This window comes from Homo sapiens, chromosome 11, assembly GCF_000001405.40.
Source record: "Homo sapiens chromosome 11, GRCh38.p14 Primary Assembly".
Classification (NCBI taxonomy): domain Eukaryota; kingdom Metazoa; phylum Chordata; class Mammalia; order Primates; family Hominidae; genus Homo; species Homo sapiens.
Window position 1 is genome coordinate 74,684,341 of NC_000011.10, and position 17,241 is coordinate 74,701,581.

Sequence of the window (17,241 nt, forward strand, 5' to 3'; positions counted from 1 at the left end):
GTTTCTTGAAGGATACTCTGGCCCTGAGTCACCAGGGTGCTTGTTTAAAAAGGCCAGTTGATGGCCCCACCTCACATCTGCTGAATCGGAACCCTTGGGCTTGGGGCCTTGGAATCCACAGCCTCATGCTGATTCTGTTACATGAATGAGGATGAATGAGCCATAAACTAGGAAAAGTATAATCGCTGGTCCCCATACTCCCAGCACCAGGACTGAAGTGAGACATTTGTTCCCATCACTGGGCCTTGTTACCCTCACAGGCCCGCATGTCTCCCAATGGGCCTCAGTTTCCTCACTCATAAAATGGTCATGACCTCACATCAACCCTTCCTCCTAGGGATATGGGAAAATCACAGGTGCCCTTGAGTGGGAAATGCCATCAGAGGCAGGAAGACCCCTAAACAGTCCTGTCTTCCACACACTGCATTCACCCTCTTAAAGGCATTTTTGTGCATGACTGCTGCTGCTCAGCACCCTTTGAGAGCTCCCTGTGGGCAGAGGAGTGGGGTCACTGGAGTGTGGCTCCCCACTGTCTTCAGAATAAAGCTCTGACCCCTCAGCCTCGTGTTCCAAATTGGGACCTGGCTACATCTCCAGTCTCCTTTCTCAGTGCCCCCAAAACTACCCTCCACCCCTGTTCAATCCCAAACACCTGTGCTTTCCTGCAGCTTTGACTTTGCTTAACCTGTCCCCTCCTTGGAAATATACTTTCTCCCCTCCCTCTCCCCCATTTTCAAATAGCTATATGTTGTTATTTCTCTATGACTGTGCCCCACCCTGCCCCAGTAGGGGTGCTCTTTGTCTCCTGTGAACTCCTTCCGTACTCTCTAGTCCTCTGCTAAAGCACTGACTGCCTTCTACACTGGTTAAGATCTTGGGTTTTTGATGTGAAGACAATCTGGCTGTGACATCTGTCACCTCAATGATCACAGGGTTGATTTGGCCGGTCTGGCTGGCTAGGCGGGTGTCCCCTTCCTCCCTCACCACTCCAGTGCATCCCTCCTGAAGCTGCATGCTTGGTCAAAGAGGATGACCTTCCTGATACAGGAGGACCATCCCTCTGTCAAGGGTATATGAGGAGCTATGCTCCCCTACTAGAACCTCCAAACAAGCTCTAAAGATCTTGGGTCTTGGAGATTTATAAATCTAGTTTGTGGCCCTGACTCCAGTACTGTGTGACCTTGAAAAAGTTCCTTAACCTCTCTGAGCTTCCATTTCCTCCTTGTATTTTCAAGGAAATTTGGGGACATAAGGAAGGGAAAGTATTTGGAGCAGTGTCTGGGCAGTGCAGAGTAACAGATAAGAGTGCAGGCTCCTTCTTGAAAGGGGAAATGGGTGAAAAAAAAAAAAAGGAGTGCAGGCTCTGAACTACAGTGCATGGGTTTGAAACCACACTCCGCGTTCACTCACTGGCAGTATGATCTTGGGTAGCATTACTAAACTCTTCTTTGCCTCAGTTTCCTCAACTGTACAATTTGGATAATAATAGTGTGGCAGACAGACCCTAGTATGGCACCCATAATGTTCACACCCTGTATTATCCCCAGTTTTTGAGTGTGAACAAGACCTGTGATTTGCTTCTGACCGCTGGAACACGGCAAAGGTGAAGAGATTTTGCAGATGTAATTAGGGTTCCAAATTATTACATTCTGAGTTACTCAAAAGGGAGATTATGCTGAGTGGGCCTGATTTAGTCAGGGAAAATTCCTTAAAAGAGGAACTGTACCCTCCCTGGAGTCAGAGACTCTGAGTTCTGATTTTGAAGAAGTAAGCTGTTGTGCTACAAGAAGGCCTAGGAGAAGGCCACGTGGCAAGACTGTGGGTCACCTCTAGGAACTGAAAGTGGACCCTGGCTGACAGCCAGCAAGAATACCAGGGCTTCAATCCTGCAACTGCAAGGAGGTGAATTTTTCCAGCTTAAGGGAACTTGGGAGTGGATCTTTCCCCAGTCAAGCTTCTGATGAGACTGCAGCTCTAACTGATGCCTGGATTGTAGGCTGGTGAGACCCTGAAGCAGAGAACTGTCTGTTCCCAGGCTTCTGACCTACAGAAGCTGTGAGACAATAAATATGCTAAATTTGTGGTAATTTGTTACTCAGCATACAAAATTAATACAGTGTCCACCTTATAGGGTTCTAATGAAGATTAAATGGGGTCACGGAGGTAATCAAAGCCTTGGCCTAGTGCCTGGCTCATGGGAGATGCTCAGTAATTGGTAGTAATTAGCTGCCAATGCTATTATGTTTAGGATGTAGCACTTTACAAAGTTATGTTTTTAATCATCAGCTTATTAGCACGTTTGAACAAATGATAGGTTTTGCAGGCAGGAAACCTACATCTGAAACATAGCAAAATTGCTATTAGACCTTTACCTTGCTGGGCCTGTGTCTGTTAGAATGCATTAGGCTGCAAGTACAGAACACCTGACTAACAGTGGCTGTCTTAGGTTGGGATTCTTAGAAACAGAAGTTGAGATGAGAAGATGAGTTGAAAGTGATGTCTTAGGAAGTGTTTCCAAGACAAACCAGTAGTAGGGGTGTGGAGAAGTGGGAAGGGAAGAAGGCAAGGCAAGGGTGTGATTCAGGCCAAGTCCCGCAGAGGGGAGCTTGACTCAGACTTGCAGAGGAGCTCCGGAGATCGTGCAATCACTCCTCAGAGTCATCCACATCAGCACAAGGGAGCTGGAGGATTGGCACCTCCATACTCATCTGTCTGAGCTAAGGGCCACCTGGGGTGGAGCGGAGGTGGACATTGTCAGGCTCTTCTGGTTTTCCATGCTCACTGGCAAAGTGGGCTCAGGCAGCCTAAGGTCAGTGTTCTGACAAAGAGAAGCAGGTGCTGGCTGTTGGGAATGAAAGCTCACTGGAGCTGGTATGTATGACAATGGTAAAGGGATAACAGGCATTGTGATTGGGTCAATGGCAGTGCCGCTACAGTGGCATAAACTGCAAGGACATCTGTTATTTTCTTAACAAGAAATGTGGAGGTATGTGGTCTCCAGACTGCTTCAGTGTAGGTCATCAAGGTCATTGAGGACTCAGCTCAGGACAGCCTTCCTCAGCATCCTGGCTTTTATCATTCTCAGCCTCATGGCCACAAGATGGCTGCTGCAGCACCAGGGCTCATGTCCTTAACTGATAGCATTTGAGTCTGGAAGAAAAGGGAGGGCTGCAGCAAAAAAACCTTTCGCCTCACATGACCCTCCCCTACAGAAGGAAAATCTTCCCTGCTCACTCCACCAGCCCTGGTTCATGTCATCAGTGCGTGTGAAAGGGCTTTATATCCTGCGAAACACAACAATGCTAATTTTAATTGCTATTGAAATCCATGCTTTTTCTTCCCCTTTGCACTGTGAGGGGCTGTGTGTGACTCACCGTGGCTTCTGTTGATTCTGCCCTCTAAATAGCTGGCAATCCCACCCACTTCTCTCCCTCTCTGTTGCCACACCCTCATCCAGACTGCCACCATCTCTGTCACTGGTAGCTGCAATAACTTATTAATACTAACTGATTGCCCTGCTTCCATTCTTGACTCCTTCCAAGTCTTTCTCCCACAGAAGCCTCAGGGATCTTTGTAAAACACAAATCTGTCTGAGTCACTCCCCTGCTGGAAATCGTTCCAGGCTCAAAAATAGGGGAGATATTCAGAATAACTACTGATTTGGAATAGGCCCTGGGCAATCAGGATAGGCCCCAGTGTTGACAGCCCTGCCAGCCCATCCTTCCTGAATATCAGCCCTGTTCTGGTGGCCCTGGGGAAATTGACCTCTGCTGCCTCTCCAGGCTTCTCTCTAAAGCCCGTGCCCCTCACCCCCACTTCCTGCACCACCTACATCCACTGCCCGATACTACTCTCTTGCCAGGCTGAACTTTTTGCTGCTTCCCAGATGTTTAACATACAGTAGGTGCTCAATCAATGGTTGTTGAGCTCTGGAATGATCACTGCTACCATTGTTACTCCCATTACCACTGCCACCACCACCATTACTGCCTCCACCACCACCAGTACCACCCCTCCGATTTGCAGGACCCAGGCAAGAGTGCAAATGGAGACTACATATCATAATATGTAATAGATCATATGTGATATGACATGGAGTCTCCATTTGTATCCTTGCCTGTCACCACTTTTGCCTGTTGTGAGGCCTCTGACCTCCCTGTTTCCTAGGACTGAAACACGATTTCTCCACTTTCCCTGAATAATTGCTTAACGTCTCTATTTGGATGTCTCCTCATCCAGGAAGCTTCCTCTGACACCCCTCTCCCCGCTCCCTGGCCATGGGTTCTCACAGCCACCCCTGTGCCTTCTTCTGTGTTTGTCACTCTGTTGTCATTGTTTATGTCTCTCCCTCTCTAGACTGGAGACTTTTGAGGATGCAGTTGGACACAGAGGACAATTACATCCCCTGTGCTGGTAGTAGCAGGGAGCCATGGTGGTAAAGGAGGGCAGGACCACCTTTAAGCCCAGGAAAGAGGGACCCCCACCCTGGGCCATGCCCTCTGGAGGGCCCCAGTCTGACCCACTTTCAGCTGCACTCCTACCCACAGCCCAAGGGGTCCATGGGATTGAGGGTATGTGCACCCCACCTCCTCTCTAGACCACAGTGGGGACCTAGGATCCTGGAATTCTCTGCCCAAGCAGCCCTGAGTCTGCTTCTTGGACTGCACAGTCCTCTTCCCTAGGTCTGTTCTCTACACCTGAGGGATAGTTTGCTGGGGCTCTGGAAGAAATTTGGAAAAGTTCCATTTGCTTTTGCTGCATAATGAATTACCCCAGAATTTGGCAACTTAAACAACTTTTTTTTTTTCTTTCCTTTTCTTTTTTGAGACAGGATCTTGTTCTGTTGTCCAGGCTAGGGTGCACTGGCATGATCATAGCTCACTGCAGCCTTGACCTCCCAGGTTCAAGCAATCCTCCTACCTCAGCTTCCTGAATAGCTGGGACTACAGACGTGTGCCACCATGACCAGGTAACTTGTTATTTTTTGTAGAGACAGGGTCTCGCTATGTTGCCCAGGCTAGTCTTAAACTCCTGGACTCAAATGATCCTCCCGCCTCAGCTTCCCAAAGTGCTGGGTTTACAGGTGTGAGCCACCACGCCCAGCAACAACTGTTTTCTAATCCTCATGAATTCTGTGGGTCAGCAACTTGGGGATGGCATGGTGGGAATGGTTTGTCTCTGTTCCACAATGTCTGGGGTCTCAGCTGGGGAGACTCCAAGCTGGGTGCTGGATTCCTCTGGAGGGGTCTTTATGTTCATATCTGCTTATTGTTTCTGATAGTTGGCCCAGAGCTCAGCTGGGGCTGTTGAGTGGAGCATATACGTGTGTCACCTATGTCGTCTTGGCTTCCTCACAGCATGGTGGCCTCATAGTGGTTGGACTTTGTACAAGTGGCTCAGGGGTCCAAAAGCAATTATCTCTGTAAGCAAAGCAGTAGCTGCATTGCCATTTCTGACCTAGCCTTGGAAATCAGCCCTTATAATTTCTGTTTCATTCTGTTGGTACAAATGAGTCACAGCCTACTCAGATTTAAGGGGTGGGGACATGGGCCACACATGGGCTACCTCTCAATGGGAGGAGTATAAAAGCATTTGTGGACATGTTTTAAAACCACCATAGACATGCAGATTGGGGTGTCCATACGTGTGTGTACGGGACCCCTCACAGTAGAGGACGGAGGTGAAATGAGGAGAGAGGTGGGCCAACAGCTGGAAGCCAGGGGTCAAGGGTTGGCTTTCCCTGGGTTTACATATTCTGGTCAAGAATTCAGAGAAGTCAGAACATTTTAAATTTGAATTTGGCCTTCCAGGCCATTAAGAAGTTACATTTGTCAAGGCAGGAACACAAAACATATTCATGTAACAGTTTAGTTAGTTGGATTTATAACTTTTAAATATTTAGCATGTGATAGGTATTCTTCACGTGCATTCTTGCCTGGGCCCTGCAAGTGTGAGGGGTGGTCCTGGTGGTAGAGGTGGCAGTAACGGTGGTGGTGGTGGTGGTAATGGCAGTGACAGTGGTAGTGGTGATCATTCAAGGGTTGAACAACCATTTATTGAGTACCTACTATATGTCAGCAGTCAACCACATCTTACCACTGTCGCCTTTACCATCATTGTCATTCTTCCTTCCTTCAATTAGCATATATCGAATGCCTCTTGTGGGCTAGGAACCACGCTAGGGGCTGGAAGTGCAGAGATGATAACATGTGGTCTCTGGTTCCAGACACTAACTGTCCCGTGGGAGAAACGGACCACTGCAGTACAAACGTATGAGTTCCACTACTGAGGAGCAGACAATGCTGGGGCAGCCAAGGACTAGGGAGGGCTTTTCTAGGAGATCTTGAAAGATAAAATGGAGTAGTACAGGCATAAAACGGGGAAAGGCATTCCAGAAAGAGGAAACAACTTGTAAAAGGCATGGAAGAGAGGACACAGTTTCAAGAAAGTTGTAGCAGTGGCGGCCTGGGAACGGGGATCCCTTTGGTGACCACTCCCTGTGTTTGCCACCCACTCCTTTATTTTGGGGTGCTGCTCTTCCCCTACTCCAATCATGTGATGCTAGTACCTCATCCCTGACCACCCAAGACTGGCTGTATGTCACCCAATATGGACCAGTCAGAATTCCTCCCCAAAGTATTTCTATTGGAATGGGAAGGGAAGGTCCTTTGTACCTGATCTGGTTGGGAGCTCTTACAGTGTTCAACAGTGTGTAGTGTGTTGTCTTCTTCTTGAAAGAGTTGGTTGGAAAGAAGGTGTGACTATTCAGGGTCAACAGAGTTCAGAATGGAGAGGGAATGTTCTGATGGTGTCAGAGTCCATGATTCAGGTCTTTCTGGAGCCCAGATCCATCCCAACTTGGTCAGATGGTGCAGCAGGACCCTTGGGTATTGCTGGGAGATAAACCCAAGGGTTGGACTGAAAAGGCAGCAGGAGTCAGATCATGAAGGGGTGAGCGGGGGGAGATTTGGTGTCATCTTGAGGACAAAGGAAAGTCATTTAGGGAGGGGCTTAATAAGGGAGAGGCATGGTCAGATTTATGTTTTTGAAAGATCATTCTGATAGGCAAGACTTACTGGGAATGGGGAGGGGTGGGAGAGGAGAGGCTGATGGCAGGGGAGCTGGTGAGAAGGCTGATCTCACCCTTGGCCCAGTTGTCACAGGGCAGGAGAGGCCCGAACTTTGGAGTGAGACCCTATGAGTACCAATCACAGCCCCACCTCCCAGTTGCTGTTTGACTTTGGGCAAGTATGTGAGCTCTGATCTGTGCTGGAGGAAGATAAATGTGGGATTGGTGAGAGAAATCAAATTTCATGTGGTCATTAAATCAGTCTTGAGCTGGGTACCAGAGATGCAGGTTCTAATTCTAGAAAGTCTGAGAAAACGCCCTATACACAGAAACCCATGCCAACCCACCCCCTTTCCAACCTCAGCCACCTTCCTACAGCGGTTCCTGCTCATTTCCATGAACTGACTCTGATGGAGGAGGTGGCAGGCAGGGGGTGTCTTCCAGGGACCAGGGTGAGGGGAAGCAGGGTGGCTGAGCCAGCCCTAGAGAGAGATGCCATTGTGTCCAGTGGGGCCCCAGGCCATCCCTCACCCCCAGGCTAGCCCTAAACCACAGGCCACGTCCTGTTTCTCAGAAATACTGCCATTTCCCAGAGCCCAGTGTTCGTGGGGGGACAAAGGGAGTGACGTGACAGCTGCCAGAGGAGGAGGAAACATCCCCAGGAAACCTGGAGGCCAGGCCTGGCATTGTGAAGGATGATCACATATCAGGGCCAGAAAGCTACCTGGGAAGGTTGAGTGGAATGGGGACTCTGAGCCCAGGTCTGTGATGCCTGCCCCTGCTCAGGACCCGGCCCCTTCCTGTGCTCTGGGACCCATAAGGATACAGAATCCTATCACATAAAGGTAGAGAGTGGAAAGGTAGATGACAGAGACTGGGAAGGGTATGGGGAGCGGGAAGATGAAGAGCACTGGGCTGAAGGTACAGACATGCAGTAAGACAGAAGGATTCTGTTCAGTGATGGATAGCACGGTAAGGTGATTGTACTTAACAAAAATGTATTCAGGTGATGGACACCCTAAATGCCTTGACTTGATCACTGCACATTATACACATGCAGCAAAATTTCTCGTGTACCCCATAAAGTTGCACAAAAAAATTTAAAAAATACAATTAAGACTTTAGGATATAGAATCGTAGACCCCAGTTGGAATCCAACTGTCCATTTGTTATTGTGACCTTGGTGAGTGACCTTCTCTCCCTGGAGCCTTAGTTCCCTTGTCTGATATGGTTAACAAGCCCCACCTCACTGGGCTGTGCTAGGGATCAGATGAGACAATGGATTTGAATGTGCTTTGTTAACCAGTGGCCAGGAAGGATATCACTACCTCAGTGGGAGCTCTGGCGGTGCCCAGCCTGGCCACCAGTGGGACAGTGGATCCCATGGGACTCCCTGCTGGAGCCTTGGGGAGCCCCATGCGGGAGCAGGGCTGGTCAGCCCTGGGAGCCCCCCACTCCCCTCTCCCTCATCACACTCATGGGGAGATGAGTAGGGTTATGCAGCAGCTTAGAGGCCAAGGAAGAATGGATTTTAACCCATCCCTAAATCTTGCCTTCCTCCATCCTCACTCCTGTTTCTCCTGATTTTCCCTCTCTTGGGGCATCGCCTCGTCACCGAGACTTGCTCTCAGCCAAAAAGCTGTCTTCTTCAAGCCCATGTGCACAGCCAGCCACAGCCCTGCCTCTCTTCTTCTTTACTGCCAGCTTTCTTAAAATGCTTGTCTGTTTCCTCACTTCCCAGAAACCGTCTCAGCACCTAAAACTCAGCTCCCACCTCTCAGCTCTCCTGACTGTGCTCCCTGCTGTGGCCATTGGAGCCTCCTTGTTTCCACGAAGGTCTCTTTGCCAGCCTCACCCTGGCCCTCTCAGCACCCTGCTCCCCGACCTATTCCCTGTCCGCCATGCTGACCCTTTGCTGATGCTCTGGGGTCCGTCTTGCTCCCACTCTGTTTACTCCACCATCTCTCCCAGGCCAGTGTCACCCCCTCTCCCAGCTTTAGTTACCACCTACAGGTCAACAGCTCCCAACTCCCTGCCTCTAGCCCAGCTTTCTCTCCAGACCTATTAAACCCAGAGGGCTGTGGATACCTCCTGAGCCTCAGCGTGTGCTCAGCTGAAACTTCTGGCTTCTTCTCCCAGAAGGTATCACCAAGTGAGACACCAGGTACACACTTGCTCCTTGCTCTCCCTCAATCCTGAGTCTAGCCAGTCATCCGTTGTGCCTTGCCCATGACCTCTCTCCTATCCAGGCCAGAGTCATCCTCACGTGGATCCCATAACAGCCACCTCCTACCTGGCCTCAGCCTCACTCTGCCAGGCCATTCTTCACCTGGCCGGTAGAACCAGTGTTCTCAACCACAAATCTGACCAAAGTATTGAAACTCTCCTGGGGCTACCTGCTAGCCTTCAGGATGCAGTCAGAGCTCTTCAGCTAGCTGTGCAGCCTCACCTCCCTTTGCTCGTTGCCTCAAATTATCATCCAGTGACAGTGAGCTATTTGTGGTTCTGCCGTAACTTGCTACTTTTCACCGTCTACCAAGTTTTCTCTTCCTGTACCGTCACCCACCCTCCTCTCTCTCTCCCCCTTTTTTTTTCTACCTCCTGCTCACCTTCCGAGCCTGCTTGAGTGTCGTCAGTCTGGGTTGGGGCTGTGCCCCCTTGGTCCCTGCCCTTAGCACTGGCAACACTGAGGGGCTCGGATGCTGCTCCCTCCTCTATCTCCTCCTCCAGACTTGAGGCTCTAAAAGCACAGGAAGGGCAATTAGCTCCCTGCACTGTGTTGGTGCTCGAGCATAAAGCCCACCCGAGAGCAGCGCCGAAGCTGTTTTATGAATGAATCCATGAAAGAGAAGACAACATGGCAGAGCTGCCTGCAGACTCACATAGCGAGCCCATGTTTACACACACAGAAAGGTCTGGACCAAAGTCAGGAGAGGGCAGTGTGCTGAATGTGTCCCCCTGGTGGAAAAGCGAACCTCAGAGGCATCCCATAAGCCCATCAGAGAAACCAGGAAGGCAATTTGGCCTGCAGCATCAGGAAACGTGTACAGCGAAGTCCACTCCTGTCCGGAGACCCTGGAACTGCCTCTGATGACAGAGCCCTGTTTCCAAACCCCATTTTCCAGGAAAGGAGCCACGGTACAGGGCACAGATGTGTCAGGGAAAGTATCACTGAAGACATCTGAGATAGGCTGAAGGATGACCAGAGTTTATCCTGTGAATGGTTAAGCTTTCAGATTCCTGCACTTTAAATGAGGCAAGCTCAGAACCCATCCCTGGAGCTCCAAGTGAACCCTCTGTGTGAGCAAGCCAGGCCAAAATTGTGAGTCATCTTGAGGAGGGACAGGTAGAGGCTGTGAGGGGAGAAGGTGAATGTCTTCTGACTCAGGGGATGTTGGTAGATTCCAGCCTCAAACCCCAAACTTTCAAATCCAGACCCCTGGGAGCTGGCAGAGGAGTTAGGGGAGGGAGACACTCATCCCTGCTCAATAAGGGTGGCATCAGACTTCCCAAACCTTAGCAGACTTCCCAAACCTTAGTAACCCTAGGTTCAAGATTAGGGCTGTGGAGGCTGGGCTTAGTGGCTCATGCCTGTAATCTCACCACTTTGGGAGGCTGAGGCAGGAGGATTGCTTGAGCCCATTAGTTCTAGACCAGCCTGGGCAATATAGCAAGACCCCATCTCTTAAAAAAAAAAAACAAAAAAGGCCAAGGCTGTGGAGACAATGGCCAGAGCCCTCTGAGTGGCTGCACAAGTCCAGTCAACAGACTACTGTCCACCATTTCTCTGGAGCTTTGATCAGGCTTGGGTGGGGAGGGGATGGAGGAGCCGTGGTTGTGAGAGGATTGAGACTAGCTGTCCTGAGGAGAGAACCCCGCCTGGGGCCGGGAGCCTGAGTTCTAGCCCTGGCTTCAGCATACCACTGTGAGGCTTTGGGGAAGACATGTGGTGGTCCTGAGCCCATCTCCTCCTCTAAAATGTGGGTAGTGCCTACACCTTTCACCTTAAGTGAAATCATTGACATTAAAACATCTTTGAAATTATAAGGATTTGTACATGTGGGCAGGGTAAATAATTGATGGTGTCTTTATTTTATTATTATTATTATTATTATTATTTGAGATGGAGTCTTACTCTGTCACCCAGGCTGGAGTGCAGTGGCACAATCTCGGCTCACTGCAACCTCTGCCTCCTGGGTTCAAGCAATCCTCGTGCCTCAACTTCCCGAGTAGCTGGAATTACAGGTGTGTACCACCATGCCTGGCTAATTTTTTGTATTTTTAGTAGAAATGGGGTTTCACTATGTTGGCCAGGCTGGTCTCGAACTCCTGGCCTCAGACGATCCACCCCCCTCGGCCTCCCAAAGTGCTGGGATTGTAGGCGTCAGCCACCGTGCCTGGCCCTAATGGTGTCTTTAATTGCTAACTGTTGGGCCTTCTCAGAGCATGGTGCCAGGTTAGCAATCTGACCGCCCAGTCTTGGAAATCCTCTGAGGTGAGGCTATCTGGGCTCGTGACACTGGCCACACTGTGGAACTGGGGAAGGAGTGCTAGCCTGGAGCGAGAGATCTGGCTTCCAACTCCAGATCTGCTACTAAGCAGCTCTGCGGCTTTGGGCAAATGACTGCCTGCTGCTCCTCCCTAACTGGGTTTCCTCATTGTAGGGTGTGAAGACAGTGGTGAGGATCCCAGGAATACTTGCTGGGAAAGTGCTTTAAGGCTCCATTAACGCCCTCCCCTGGCTAATTAGAGTCATTCCTCTTTCTGAGGCTCAGTGTCAAAGAGCTGTGGGAGGGGGGCTGCCCGGAAAAGCAGGAGGTGCTGCAGTGGGGGGCCTGGGTGAGGAGGCTGGGGGAGCTAGCCCTGGCTGTGGTGACAACTCACTGTGAGGACTGGGACCATTCTCTATCCCTTCTGGATCTTGGTTTCCACCCCTGTAAAATGGGGATAACCAGGTCTGCCTTGTGGAGTTGCTAGGAGAGCATGCAGGAGACTGGATATGAACCCAGAAGGCAGGGCTGAGGGTAATGCAACTTCTTATTTATTAATATATAATAACAACAATTATACAGCTCATATCTGCAACTGTTAGGTCTTTGTTATGTCTTGGTCACTTTGTCTGGACTGGCCGTGACCTTCAGCTCCAGGGTCTGGGCTAGGAAGACGTTCCAGTGACCTGCATGGAGGAGGGCAGAAGAGGGAAGAGGCGTATGTGTCTGCACGTGCACAACAGAGGCAGCAGCTGGGGGTTGGAAAAGCCTTGGGCCAGGAGGAACTGCAAGGGCCAGGGTTTGGAGCCCACAGGGAGCCTGGAGGCGAGTGTGCCATCACACTGGGTGTGATGGGGCACATGACCCAGCTTTCAAACAACCTTGGGGGACAGAACTGGTTTCCTGACACCTGTTGGTAATACTCCCCTCTGTGACCTCCCCTCCCCGACCTGAAACCCCACCTGGGTCCATCTTCCTAAAAGTAAGGTATAGAAGGAAAGTGGAAACATTCCAGTAGAGAGGGAGTGGGCAGTACCCAGGTTTGGGGGCTCAGACCTCCCCTCTCCACAGCCCTTTCTCCCTCCACCCTCAGAACCAAATCCAGCCAGCTCTGCTTCACCTTCCCGCTCTGGAGTTAGGAAATCTCTGGCGCAGACACCCGCTGGATTCCTGTGCTGGGAACTGACGTCTGTGGCTGACAGCCCCTCCTCCCGGCACCAGCAGCCTGGGAACTCCCCGAAAGGCTCTGGCCCGTGTCCTTGCCTTCTTCCTGCCCCGGCCCCATTCCTCAGCCCAAGCTCCTACCTTCGTGGGGGCCAGCGAGCAGTCGGAAGTGCTGTGCCTCTTTCTGGAAGTCTTGCTTCCTGACTTTCTTGATCTGAGTCAAGTGGAAGATTCCTGAGGGCAGAGACAAGGATGTGAGCAGGCAAGGCAAAAACCTACAGTCGGTGAAAAGTGAAACAGGGTGACTTAGCACAGAACGGACCCAATCACTCCCTCCCCCACCCCATTCTGATCAGACACAAAATCCTGCTGATGACATTTCCTCAATATTTTGAATCCATTCTCCTATCTCTCTGCCACTATCCTCACTCAGGCCCCTGTTGTCTTGTCTGGGTCACTACACTAGAGTCCTAACCCCTTTCACTCCCCCTCTAATCTGCAATCCTAGCTCTGGTCATTAGAACATGTATACGTCACCCTGTCATTCCCCTTCCCTGACGTCCTGTCGCCTCCACAGTGAAGCCTGTTTTCTTCTGTCTGTTCTCTTTGCTGATCCTGCTCCTGTCACCTGCACCATCCTGCTCTCACAACACCCACCTGTCCCCAGTGCAGGGAGGGAGGGAAGTGGAAGGCAGGAGGGAGAGGAGGAAGAAAGGAAAGAGAAGGAGGGAAAAAGGAAAGGAGGGCAGGAAGGGAGGAAGGAAGGTTGGCTGGCTCATGTGAACTGGTCACGCTTTTCTCAGGGCATAGAACATATGATAAAAATCAATAGGTGTGTTTATTCAGATACCAAAGAACTAGCAAGTGGCAGAGTTACAGTGGCTTGCCTGTGCCCTAGCCCTAACCAAGTACTTGACGTCCCCTGAGGAGGCCAAGCCTTTTCAAATGCCGTTCCCTCTGCTGGAATATCTTCTACTATTGCCTTCTATTTCTACTTTTTTTTCTTTTTTTTTTTTTTTGACGGAGTTTCACTCTTGTTGCCCAGGCTGAAGTACAATGGTATGATCTCAGCTCACTGCAACTTCTGCCTCCCGGGTTCAAGCGATTCTCCTGCCTCAGCCTCCTGAGTAGCTTGGATTACAGGTGCCCGCCACCACACCTGGCTAATTTTTTTTTTTTTTTGTATTTTTAGTAGAGACTGGGTTTTAGCATGTAAGCCATGCTAAACTCCTGACCTCAAATGATCCACCTGCCTTGGCCTCCCAAAGCACAAGCTGGGATTACAGGCGTGAGCCACTGCACCTGGCCACGACTTCTACTATTAGCACCAAATGAACTCCTACCTGTGCTCCAAGCCTTAGCTGGGAAGTCTTCCCTAATCCACCCGAGGCAATTCCTCCTTGGGGCACCCACAGCACCTGGCTTCCATCTGTGATTGTGCCTGTTTCTAATGTGCTCTCATTGTGTCTACTCCTGCTTCCTCTACCAGACTGGGGACTCCCAGAGGGCTCTCCTCTCTGGGTCCCTTGAGCCTGGCCCACATTTGGCATGTAGAATGAATGAATCCCTGGATGGATGGATGGATGGATGGATGGATAGATAGATGAACAAATACACACACACACACACACACACACACACACACACACACACACACACCCCACATACCCAGTCTAGGCCAGGCCCCAAGGGGGAATGAGGTATTAGCTGGATCCCCTGATGTTTGCATCTCATGGGGTGCTGGCCACTGGCACCACACATGGCTCTGAGGCCCTGAGCACATGGGCTGTGAGGCTGCACCAGCTGTTACCCACCAAGGTCTCTGGCCAGAAAGAACAGATGCAACCAGCAAGGCCTCTGCTAGGCCAGCACTGCCTTTAAGAAGACCAAGAACTGGCCCTGCTTATGGGAATCAGCGTGGGATTACCGCCAAGGGGAACAGAAAACCCTAATCCTGGGACTGAGTTCCAGGAATCAGGAAATGTCCAGCACTGTCCATGGACCCCCCCAGCCCAGATGCCAAGGACCAGGATATGGAAGAAACTCCAAAGGCCCAGGGATTATATCATAGCGGCAGGCAACAAGCATGAGATGAGATGGGGATGGGTCCTTCGGCACAGGCCTGCCACTGCATGCTCCCGAGTTACAGAAAAATTGGAGAGAAGGTGGCAGGGATGAGGGCGGGTTCCCACACTGTGGTCTGTAAAGCATTAAAGCATAATTGAAAGGACTGGGTCTCTGGCCTGGAATCAAGAGCTAGCCTGAGGGTCATGGTTGTGCCTCTTGCCCTTTGAAGGGCTGTGGCAGGTCTGAGGGCAGGTAGGCTCTGTGGATCCTCAAAGCAGAGCTGGCACCAATGGGCAAGTCCAGGGACACAGGATAGGCTCAGCTCAGTGTGAAGTCAGATGCCCTTTGGGCTGAGCAATTCACAGTGTTGGAAGTGTGTCACCTATCTGGAGTAGGAGTGGGGGTATGTACAGTCAGGTGCCAGATACCATCAAGCCATCAGGAGGCTGCAGGGGGGCTTCCTTCCTAGACAGGGCTTGGAATTGAGACCCCGACATCCTTTCTACTGTGAAACTTTAGAATCTAAAAGGCCCTTAACCCTAAGCCAACTATCTGGTTAGATTCCTGTGTCTGGGGCTGGCCCCTCGTGGTGTGGCCTCACCTAGCATCTGCCTGCTCACTTTGTTTCCGTTCCTTGGACTGGGGAAACAGTGAGTGGTTCCCACTGACAATCAACCCTGGGTAGTGTTTGTTTTAACTCCCACGGTCTGGGACAGGGAGGGAACAGGGAGGCTGATGGGGCATTTAGGCAACCCACAGGGTGAGGAGATGGGGTGCGGTTTGCTAGTGACAGGATGGCAGGGCCTGGCATTGTGAAGTTGTTTTTCCTTTTCTGCTGGGCCTGGTGACAATGAGATTGGCCATGAGCTATGCCCCCACTGTGCCATCCTGGCACACCTTGGCCATCCTCCCTAAAAGCACGAGGTCACCTCTGTGGAGGTGGCACTGGGGACAGTCAGAGCTGGATTTGAATCTTTGCTTTACTGCTTAAACTGTGTGACTTTGAGTAAGTCATTTGACCTCTCAGACTCAGTTTTCTTACCTGCAAAATGGGGGCATTAATACGTGCCCCTTAGGTTTCTTAAGAGGATTAAATGAGATACATTATACATAGTGCCTGCTACACACCAATCACAGAGCACAGGGCATATGGGCGTGAGCTCTGGAGCCAGCGTTTGAGGCTCTCACTGTCATCCTGGCTGCAGTGTACCCTTTTTGCCTCTTTATTTATTTACTTACTTATTTTAATTTTTAGTGACACTATCTGTTCATTGGCTCTTTACATCATTGAGGCCCATCCTTCACGAAGCCTTCCCTGACCAGCTCAGCTCCCAATAAGCTCCACTGCACCCAGGTCACTAAGCCTCCTAAGGACAGAGGCTGGGGCCTATTATGCTCCATGTCCCGGCACTTAGTTGGGGGCAGCGGAGAGAGAGAGGCCCAGAGTAAACATGTGGCCAAAACCTGCCCAGGGACTGATGGAATCTTTTTTTTATTATTATTATTATTATTATTTTTTTTTTTTTGAGACGGAGTCTCACTCTGTCACCCAGGCTGGAGTGCAGTGGCACGATCTTAGCTCACTGCAACCTCCTGGGCTCAAGTGATTCTCCTTCCTCAGCCTCCTGAGTAGCTGGGATTACAGGCGCCCACCACTATGCCTGGCTAATTTTTGTATTTTTAGTAAAGATGGGGTTTCACCATGTTGGCCAGGCTGGTCTCAAACTCCTGGGCTCAAGCGATCGCCCACCTTGGCCTCCCAAAGTGCTGGGATTACAGGTGTGAGCCACCAGGCCCAGCTGGGACTGATGGAATCTTAAGGCTCAAAAAATTTTAAGGGTTACTGAATCTAACTCCCCAGCTGCAGACGGAATCCCCACCAGCCCCTGCTTGCACGCTTCTCGTAAGTGGAGCTTGCTCCCTCCCTTCCACTGGCAGAAGCCTCTAAGTGTGACAAAGTTCTTCTTCTCTTGGAGCTGAAAGCTGCCTCTCTGCATTTCTCACCAACCTGATATGGTGGAATGAGAAGACTGATATTTTTAGTGCCTCGTGTATGTCAGGGGCTGCACCGATGTCATGTCATTTAATCCTCTAAAAACCCTCTTCCCCACTCTACAGAAGAGAAAACTGAGGCCCAGAGAGATCATGTGACTGCCCAAGGCCACACAGCTAAGATATAGCAGAGTCTGGATTCAAACTGGCAGAGTTAGGATTCGAACCCAAAGCCCCTGCTTGTTGTTTGACTCTTGCGGTCACTCAGAACACAGCTGCTCCCTCTGCCTGGGACAGCCCTTCAGAGCCACGAAGCCAGCAGTCCTGTCCCCCTGAGTCTTCTCTTCTCCAGGCTGAACAGCTCCACTTTCTTCGTCCATTCCTCCTACGACAGGGGGCAGAGTAGAGCAGGGAAAGAGCCGCATCTGACGCCACAAGACATGGGCTCTAGCTCCCGTC

The 17,241-nt window shown here is 50.7% G+C and overlaps 2 protein-coding genes and 1 pseudogene across 8 annotated transcripts in view, besides 2 other annotated features; 1 reads left to right on the forward strand and 2 right to left on the reverse strand.

The window, feature by feature from the left end:
- RN7SKP297 (RN7SK pseudogene 297) lies at nucleotides 885-1,123 on the forward strand (annotated as a pseudogene).
- Nucleotides 12,089-17,241, reverse strand: part of CHRDL2 (chordin like 2) — a 34,998-nt gene continuing 29,845 nt past the window's right edge. For all 7 annotated transcript variants that reach the window (NM_001278473.3, NM_015424.6, NM_001304416.2 and 4 more), the window contains 2 exons: nucleotides 12,865-12,957; nucleotides 12,089-12,245 (listed from right to left, as the gene is read on the reverse strand). In NM_001278473.3, the coding sequence (NP_001265402.1) occupies nucleotides 12,169-12,245; nucleotides 12,865-12,957 (170 nt within the window). In that variant the 3' untranslated portion in view covers nucleotides 12,089-12,168. The remainder of the gene's footprint in view (nucleotides 12,246-12,864; nucleotides 12,958-17,241) is intronic.
- Nucleotides 12,284-13,483: an enhancer, noted in NCBI's record as "MED14-independent group 3 enhancer chr11:74407669-74408868 (GRCh37/hg19 assembly coordinates)". NCBI's record gives its function as "activates an origin of replication core promoter dependent on BRD2, BRD4, P300/CBP and CDK7 cofactors, and independent of MED14, by STARR-seq in HCT116 cells {active_cell/tissue: HCT116}" and the evidence as "EXISTENCE:reporter gene assay evidence [ECO:0000049][PMID:35650434]".
- LOC124902713 (uncharacterized) lies at nucleotides 13,965-17,241 on the reverse strand. The gene is given in 2 exon segments (XM_047427990.1): nucleotides 13,965-14,328; nucleotides 14,330-17,241. Coding segments are annotated over 2 exon segments (480 nt in total). The 5' UTR covers nucleotides 14,485-17,241; the 3' UTR covers nucleotides 13,965-14,003.
- Nucleotides 15,320-15,820: an enhancer, noted in NCBI's record as "H3K27ac hESC enhancer chr11:74410705-74411205 (GRCh37/hg19 assembly coordinates)". NCBI's record gives its function as "activates a minimal SCP1, AML or CMV promoter by ChIP-STARR-seq in naive H9 embryonic stem cells {active_cell/tissue: H9 hESC(naive)}" and the evidence as "EXISTENCE:reporter gene assay evidence [ECO:0000049][PMID:30033119]".